We start from the raw sequence: 7,898 nt of genomic DNA on the forward strand, positions 1-7,898 counted from the left end.
TTCCACTATTTTGTGACACATGAAGGTACTCGGCTGTGGCACTTCCTGGAGCCTGCATGGAGATGTTCAGTCCCGTGACATCTCTGCAAACCTTCTCCCTACAGTTGCATGAAGTTTGAGGTAGAGTAAGTAGTGGAAAGATGGGTTGAACCTTATTTCAGAGTGGGACCTTCATAGGTTTTTCTCATCTTGTTTTTAGAATTTTTTGTTGTTTGTGTAAAGACGGTATTACGGAAACATAAGGTTCAGTGAAGGAACTCAGGATGAAGGTGGGCTTACAGCACCACTGTCAACATCCCTCCATGTCCTGTCGCTTCTGGAAACCAAGCCCACACCAAGCATGGCACAAATAAAAGCCATCACCCTCTTATGAATAAAAAACCATATATATTGTGGAATATTAAATGTTCTGCATGTACTAACATGAGAGAAAATATTTTTTCTCTACATAGAGTGAATTTTTTCTTGGGGACTTGTTTTTCTCCAGGGAAGGCTAAAAAAGAATTTGTGACTGACCAAATCAGATACCTTCCCAAAGAAGACAGTGCCTTGGACAGTGGTGATGGTGGCTAGAGGCACCGGATGTCTTCGGCCAGTGCTGAGGGGGACTGACTGGGGATACAGCTTTCTTGGGGTGCAAGATTTGGGGATGTCGCAGGCCCCATTGCTCATTGTTGCACCGCACACTTTTCAAGGGCTGTTGATTTCTGATTTGTCTGTCTCTGTTGGGACAACCCTGGCTCTTGAGAGTGGCTTGTTGACTGCTGGCTGCATAGCTCAGTATTCTGCCGTGTTCTGAGTAGAAGAGGTGCCTGTGGTTGCAGGGAAACCCACAGACTGGGGCTTGAAACTTCTGTTTGTGCTGATTTACCTTCGAGGCATGGCGCGCATGGCAAAGTGACATTTTCTCGTCCAGCATTTGTCCAACTGCCGTCATGAGACCCTGAGCTTCAGCACTGCTGCTGTACACACATGATCTGTTTTTTACTGTTTTTTGGCTCTCAGCAGTGACTGGTGCTGGCTTGCTTTTTTTCTTTGAAAAAATCCACTGAAAAATTTGCTTGATGTTTTCTCCAAAGGGGCTTACTGAAGGAGGCTGTTTCTTTGATGGCAGTAGCTGGACGCCTTCATCCTGATGGGTGTCTTCTGTTTTCCTGACTGGGGTAAGTTGAGGAGTCCTCAATCCTTCAAGCCTTTCTTCATGTTTTTCTAAGTTGGGCTTCCTAAACTTCTCACTCTTGTGAATAGGGGGAAACATTGGCCTTTGGCTCTTGCATGAGCCTTGACAGTTTGGTTTTCTGGGCTCCTCGTGCACCAGTTTGCTCCTTCTGGCTGCCATGAGGTCATGTAGCTCCTGGGAAGCCCGCATGTTCCCAGTAGGCATGCTCTGGAGATGGCCCTGGGGCACTTGAGAAACCAAATTCTCTGAAGCGTGGGGCACAACAGATGCTTGCCCATCTGGAAGGAGCACAACAGCGGCACAAACTTGAGGCTGGGTCTCTGACTTTGTGGCCATTCCAGGCTCAAATTCACTAACAACCTCCTCCATAAGACACAGCTTTCTTGGATCTTGGGAGACAGACACTCTAGGGTGTAGAGAGCTTTTGCTGGTCCCTGGAGCCTCGAAACCATGCACATCCTCACTTGTGGCTTGGAGGTTTGCCAGCATACAGGTTTCCAAGGGGACTCTGCATTGTGGCACTGCCTCCCTTGTCTCTCCAGCCTTTGAAGATTGGGCTCCTAAGCTCCTGCTCTGCTGGGTGCTGCCTGTGAGGCTGTACGTGAGGGGCTTAGATGGCCACCTGCCCTCCTGTCCAGCTGGAGGAGGCTTCAAGGGTTCATGATCATTCCAAGATGGGATTCCTCGCGGTGCCCTCTGGAACTGCTTCCATGCAGGTGAGGAGGCCAGAAGACTCTCTGGCATGTGATCAGATGCTTTGGTCAGCACCTGCTTTCTCAGACTTGCCATTGGTGGCTTTCTAAGGAACATGTCCACCTCAACTTCTGAGCCAGCCCCAGATTCACAGGTGGCTGAGGAGGGACCAGCAAGCTGTGTAAGGGACAAGGATGAAACCTTTTCCAGTTTAAAGCACTGAATGGGCTTGAGGACCCTGAGGGGTAGACCCCACCTGTGTTTGGCCCAAAACCTCACAATATGGGCTCCCAACCCCTGCTGAGTACACGGCTCGAGGAAGGAAAGCACCTGGGCTGTGTTCACACAGGCTTTCCCACTTTTCGGGGCTGCTAGATTGCTGGTTTTCACATGGGTGTTGGACACGGGAAGAGCCTGGTTGACAGCAAGCCAGGATCGACGCACACGCACGGGGATCAAGCCCTCGTTGGTCTGGCCCAAGTTCCTGCCCATGTGGGCTTTCAGGATGTTTTCTATATGAGTCCTCTCTGTGCATCTTAATAAATCACTTCCCGAGTCACTCCTCAAGGGCTTCCTCAAGTTCCTTTCCAACTCCTCAGAAGTCACCCCCAGAACCTTCCGTGGGAAGCTTTTCATATCCCTGGATAGATTTTGTGGGGTCTCACCCAGAATTTGCCCCAGATGTGGGCACGGGTCCCTCTCTAGCTGGAACTTCACCTTCTGTGCCTCCTTGCTGCTTTCACCTGTGGACATGGAGGACTGCCAGGGACTGGGTTTGCCCTTGGCCTGACTTGTCCCTGGTGATTCGTCCTGAAGCTGCATCAGATCCAGAGACTCTTGGATCCTTCCCAGGTTGCCCCAGTGTTGGATGATCCACTTTTTTATGTGTTGCTCCAGTTGTCTCCGGAGTTCAGGACTGACTGGAAAGTTCTCAGGCAGAATGGATGTCAAACTTTCCTGGGGAAGGTTAGGAGTGGAGACACTAAAGACGTCCTGAGATTTTTGGACCCTAGAGGGTAAAGCCAACCTACCTTCTAGTTGTCTCCTCAACAAAGGCCATTCAGGGTGCTGAGTTTCAGGTAGGGAGAGAGCTTGCACTTTATTCTGCGATGCAGGGCAAGCTACTCCAGTGTTCTGAATCAGGGATGGAAAAGCAGGAGATAGGACTGGGAAAGAAGATTGAAGATGGGCCTGAGCCTCGGCCTGAGCCATAGGTGTGGGCCGGAATTGGGGTGTGGATGAAATAAAGGGTTGGCACTCGGGCCCCAGATGGGACAGGGGCTGGGCCTGGAAAAGCAGTGGGGACATTGTAGTCTCCCTTTGAATTGGGCAGACATTGGACATTTCATTGAACAAGAAAGGAGGAGACTGTAAAGTATAAGACCTGTCAGTTACCCAGGCGTTAGCCACCAGGGACTCGCTGTGCAGAGAGGGGAGGCCCCAGAAAAGCTGGCTATAATTCTTCCAAAAACTTTCCTGCCAGAGCCTAGGATCTGAGAGCTTCTGAGGTCCGGGCAGCTGTTTCGAGTTCTCTCCCATGTTCCAGAAGGGTTTTGGGTTTGTGGTGTCCTGCTCAGCATCCAATGATTTAGCCAAATTCCGCAAAGAATTTAAGTGCTTTTCTGGGGTCATTCGATTTGTAAATGATCCAACATTTTCTTTTTCTTCCCAAATGTTGACCTTGGCTGTTTCTGTGACTTGTATCCCCACGACATTCTGGCCATCAGAGCTGAGCAAAAACAGGCTACCAGCTTCCATCTGACAGGTCTCTGGTGGGTGGCGGGAAAGATGATCTTGCTGGACTGATGAGTTAAAGGCGCACGAGGTTCTGGCAGTCTCCTGCCACCGGGAGGAGGCAGAAACATGACTGTTTGAGCCACCAAGGCCTGAGATGGCTGGGACAGAAGCCACCAAATCCTCATGTGGAGACAAGCTTTGAGGGACGGTGCCCAGTGGAAGTGCCACTGAGTCACAGTGAGATGGAGTTATCAGTGTGGAGTCCCGCAGGGGAGGAGCAGTGAAGCCTTTTGGAGGAGGCAGAGAGCAGGCCAGAGGATCAGGGGTGTGTGGTGGGTGAGGGAAAAGTGCAGGTGGCTCGGGTGAGGGGTGTTCTAGGGGAAGGGAAGGTTCTGGTGGCTGGGAGGCACTTAGGGAGGAGACTGAGGTGGTCATTGGGCCTGGTGATGGGGTGGAGGCCAGATCCTGAGGATGCTTGGCTTGAGGATCCGGGGAAGCTAACAGGGAGAGAATGGGAGCAGCATCTTCCATAGGCTCATGAGAGGACTGGGAGGCTCCATCAGGTGCTCTTTCGCCCACCTCACCTGGGGGGTCTGGACCGGAGAGCTGACCAAAGTCACCTTTGTCAAGGTGTGGCCCCAGGAGGCTGCAGGAGACAGGAGGCACGAGCTGCAGCCAGGAGCCGGTGGGGCCGGAGGGCAGAGTGGGTGCTCGGGCCACAGCCCCTCCACCACCCCACACCCTGATTGCCCAATTCTCCTGCTACCCCTCGCCCCAGGGTTTTACTCCCATCCTCTGTACCCCTGGTCTCCCCATCCCAGGTCAGCTCCAGGCTGCCTGTGGCCCTGGGGTCACGTCCCAGCCCTGGTAGGAAGGATGCAGGGAAGGGGAAGTGCCTCACCTCTGCAGTTGTGAAAGCAGGTCCGAAGTCTCCTCCAGGCCTCTCCGGCACTCTCTACCAGCTGGAAATCAGGAGACTGGGTTAGGGCAGTGAGGGAGGGGCCTGGGTTCTCACAGGAGGCTGAGTGGCTGTTTCTTTAGGGAGGACCATGGGGAATTAGACCCTGGACCCCACCCATCTGTGTCCAAAGCCACATGACCCCGACGTTAATAGCAAGGCATGGAGGACAGGGCTTTTTCATTCACAAAGGGCTTCCACACACGGACCCCCCACCCCCACAGTCCTCACAACTGCCCTGTGGGGAGAAAGGACTGAGGTGGTCTCAAAGAGGAATCAGCCTTAGCAGAGTTGGACAGCTGTTCCCAGGGAGCGGGAGGCCCCCTCACCCCCCTCCGCATCCAGGCAGGCATTGGTCTCCCCAGGACACACACACTGCCCCCTGCTGGGTAACGCCCAGTCCCTGGCCCACCATGGCTTCATTCCCGCATGGAATCTGAGAAGGACCCGGGGTTCTGATTTCCTTCCTAGGAGCCCCCACCTCAGGCTTCTTCAACTGACTTCTTCAGAGTCAGTTCCCTTCGGGACAGATGAGATCAAATTAACCCTAGTGTGCTCTGGCAGAGCCTTACCTCTCAGACTGTGGTTTTTCATCCTGCCTCTGGGCCTCCGCCTCCGCCCTACTGGACACTGGGAGACACGATGACGTACGGAGACAAGATGACGCGGAGAGACAAGATGACAATGGGAGACAAGAAAGGGTAAGAAGCTAGGACCGGCTCTCCCTCTCTGCCCCAGCCCAGCCGCAGCATGCTGCACTCAGGAACCGCATGGCTCTCTCTGTCTTGCTCAGGGAGCTCTGTGTGCTTCCTCCCACTCTTGTTTAAATGGATGATAAACTGCTTTTCTTCTTAGAAAAACAGCAAGAGGGGGCTGGGCGTGGTGGCTCACGCCTATAATCCAAGCACTTTGGGAGGCCAAGGTGGGTTGATCACCTGAGGTCAGGAGTTTGAGACCAGCCTGGCCATGGTGAAACCCCGTGTCTACTAAAAATACAAAAATTAGGCAGGCATGGTGGTGGGCGCCTGTAATCCCCAGCTATTCAGGACTCTAAGACAGGAGAATCGCTTGAACTCAGGAAGCAGAGGTTGCAGTGAGCCGATATCACTCCATTTCACTGCAACCTGCACCACAGAGCGAGACTCCATCTCAAAAAATAAAATAAAATAAAATAAAATAAAATAAAATAAAATAAAATAAAATAAAAATAACACACACAAATAAAATAAAAATACACACACACACACACACACACACACACACACACAGAGGGATTTTCAATATGAGGTCCACCACGGACACCTTCAGTCCCTGTTCCTCTGCTCCAGGAACACCCAAGTTCAGGCCCGCAGGCACTGCTGAGCTATCAGGTAGGATTCTGCTTCCCAGGAGACCAGAGGAGACACCAGGCCCTGGTGGGAGGCCCTCAGGGGCCCAGCACAGGCCCCAGATCACCCCACACAGGGGAGGCTGGGCCCTGAGCCACCTGCACCAGAAAGGGGCTGATGAGCCAGGGCTCAGGGCCTGGTCTCGGACAGAGACCTCCCCAGTCTCATGACTGGTACTGGTGCTGAGTCCACTGGTTTGATTTTGCCTTGATGCCTCCTGTGCTCCCCCACAGATGGACTGAGAGCTTGGGATGGAAATCCCAGTACACTATCTACCCCTACCAACCCCTGGCTGCCCTGCCTCTCCCTGGAAGGATGATGTTCTGGTCTCTTCTGAGACTTCCCATCATAGAAGGCTCTCCACTGGATTTGGAAAAGTGGAACTAATAATAAAAAGAAAGGAGAGAATCAAGCTCTGTGGGTTGGGACTGAGGGTTCCTTACCTTTCTCTTCCCAGGCGATGGTGAGGGTGGGTCATCACAACGGAAGTAAGATAAGTAGGGGAGTAATAGGAAGAAGAACCCCAGGGCAAACACCAAAGTGAGGAAGATATCCAACACCCATGGTGTGGAACTGGGGGCGTTTAGCGATGAGGCACTAAGTAATTTTAAAGGAAAGGGAAGATTCTCCATGTGAATAGGCGCGTTGCTTTCAAGCAACTGAGCTCTGGGCATCCCCGTGGGGACTAGGGACTGGGGCCCAGGCCTGCGTCACAGAGGTGGGGCCTTGATGTCACAAAGGGCTCCTTTGTTGGGGAGGGGCAGTGGGAGGGGGAGGCGCAGAGGGAGGGGGAGGTGCAGCAGGAGGGGGAGAGGGAGGGAGAGGGGCAGGGGAGGGGGAGACTGAAGCACAGCCCCTCCCTACCCCCCAAGCTGGGGATCCCTCCACCATCCCACCTTCTAGATCCCTCCTTCCCACTAAGTTTTGTCAGTGATAGCCAATTTTCTATTCTTTCTCCCTGGAATATAGATATTACCTGGTTCCTTTTATCTGTTGGAGACGGTGGCTTGAGGTTACCTATTTTATAGCCCTTGAAAATCTGAAGTTCTGAAATTTTGGCTATGTACCAGGGATTTTTATTCTCAGAATCTCGTTCATCCTCAACTCCAGCTTTTCCACACTATGTTTTTGTCTTGTATCAATCCAGGGACAAAATGTAAATTTCTTTTACTCTTATTTAGTTTTGCAAATTTTGAATAGTAAGTTTTAAAAAATTATTTCTATCTCACTTTCAATCAAAGGGAACTACCCACATACAATTAAGATTTTTTTTTTTGTCTTTTAAAATTTTATTTATGTACTTATGTATTTATTTTATTTTAACTTTCGGGATACATGTGCAGGACATGCAGTTTTCTTACATAGGCAAATATGTACCATGGTGATTTGCTGCACCTATCAACCCATCACTTAGGTATTAAACCCAGCATGCATTAGCTATTTTTCCTGATGCTCTCCCTACCACCGGCCCTCCCTCGACAGGTGCCAGGGTGTGTTGTTTCCCTCCCAGTGTCCATATGTTCTCATTGTTCGGCTCCCACTTGTAAGTGAGAACATGTGGTATTTGGTTTTCTGTTCCTGTGTTAGTTTGCTGAGGATAATGGCTTCCAGCTTCATCCATGTCCCCGCAAAGGACTTGATCTCATTCCTTTTTATGGCTGCATAGTATTCCATGGTGTATATGTACCACATTTTATTTATCCAGTCTATCATTGGTGGGCATTGGGTTGATTCCATGTCTTTGCTATTGGGAACAGTGCTGCAATAAACATACACGTGCATGTATCTTTGTAATAGAATGATTTATATTCCTTTGGATATGCAATAATGGTATATCTGCCACAGCCTCTGTACTGCACTGTGGGGAATTCTGCCCAGCGCAAACCACCCAGTCTCCCTAGCACTGGTGGGGGAAAACCACCGGCTAGACCCGCAGTAATGG

General features: G+C 51.2%; 1 protein-coding gene across 2 annotated transcripts; it reads right to left on the reverse strand.

Moving 5' to 3' along the window:
- Nucleotides 1-370: 370 nt before the first annotated feature.
- Nucleotides 371-6,617, reverse strand: SPATA31A3 (SPATA31 subfamily A member 3). 2 transcript variants are annotated; one of them, NM_001083124.1, is made up of 4 exons: nt 6,400-6,617; nt 5,141-5,198; nt 4,512-4,572; nt 371-4,256 (listed from the first exon to the last, which is right to left on the reverse strand). In NM_001083124.1, the coding sequence occupies exons 1-4, from the start codon at nt 6,586-6,588 to the stop codon at nt 521-523; spliced, it is 4,044 nt and encodes a 1,347-aa protein (NP_001076593.1). In that variant the 5' UTR covers nt 6,589-6,617; the 3' UTR covers nt 371-520. The 2 variants fall into 2 exon arrangements, with proteins under 2 accessions (NP_001076593.1, XP_011543982.1); XM_011545680.4 differs by lacking the exons at nt 5,141-5,198; nt 6,400-6,617 and adding an exon at nt 4,898-5,100.
- Between the last annotated feature and the right edge of the window lie 1,281 nt (nt 6,618-7,898).

This window comes from Homo sapiens, chromosome 9 (assembly GCF_000001405.40).
Source record: "Homo sapiens chromosome 9, GRCh38.p14 Primary Assembly".
Taxonomy (NCBI): domain Eukaryota; kingdom Metazoa; phylum Chordata; class Mammalia; order Primates; family Hominidae; genus Homo; species Homo sapiens.

Coding starts and splice junctions, on each gene's coding strand:
- SPATA31A3 (NM_001083124.1), bottom strand. CDS start 6,588: ATGGAGAATCTTCCCTTTCCTTTAAAATTACTTAGTGCCTCATCGCTA. Junction 4,573..5,140: donor GAAAAACCACAGTCTGAGAG/GTAAGGCTCTGC, acceptor CCTGATTTCCAG/CTGGTAGAGAGTGCCGGAGA. Junction 4,257..4,511: donor CTGCTTTCACAACTGCAGAG/GTGAGGCACTTC, acceptor TGTCTCCTGCAG/CCTCCTGGGGCCACACCTTG.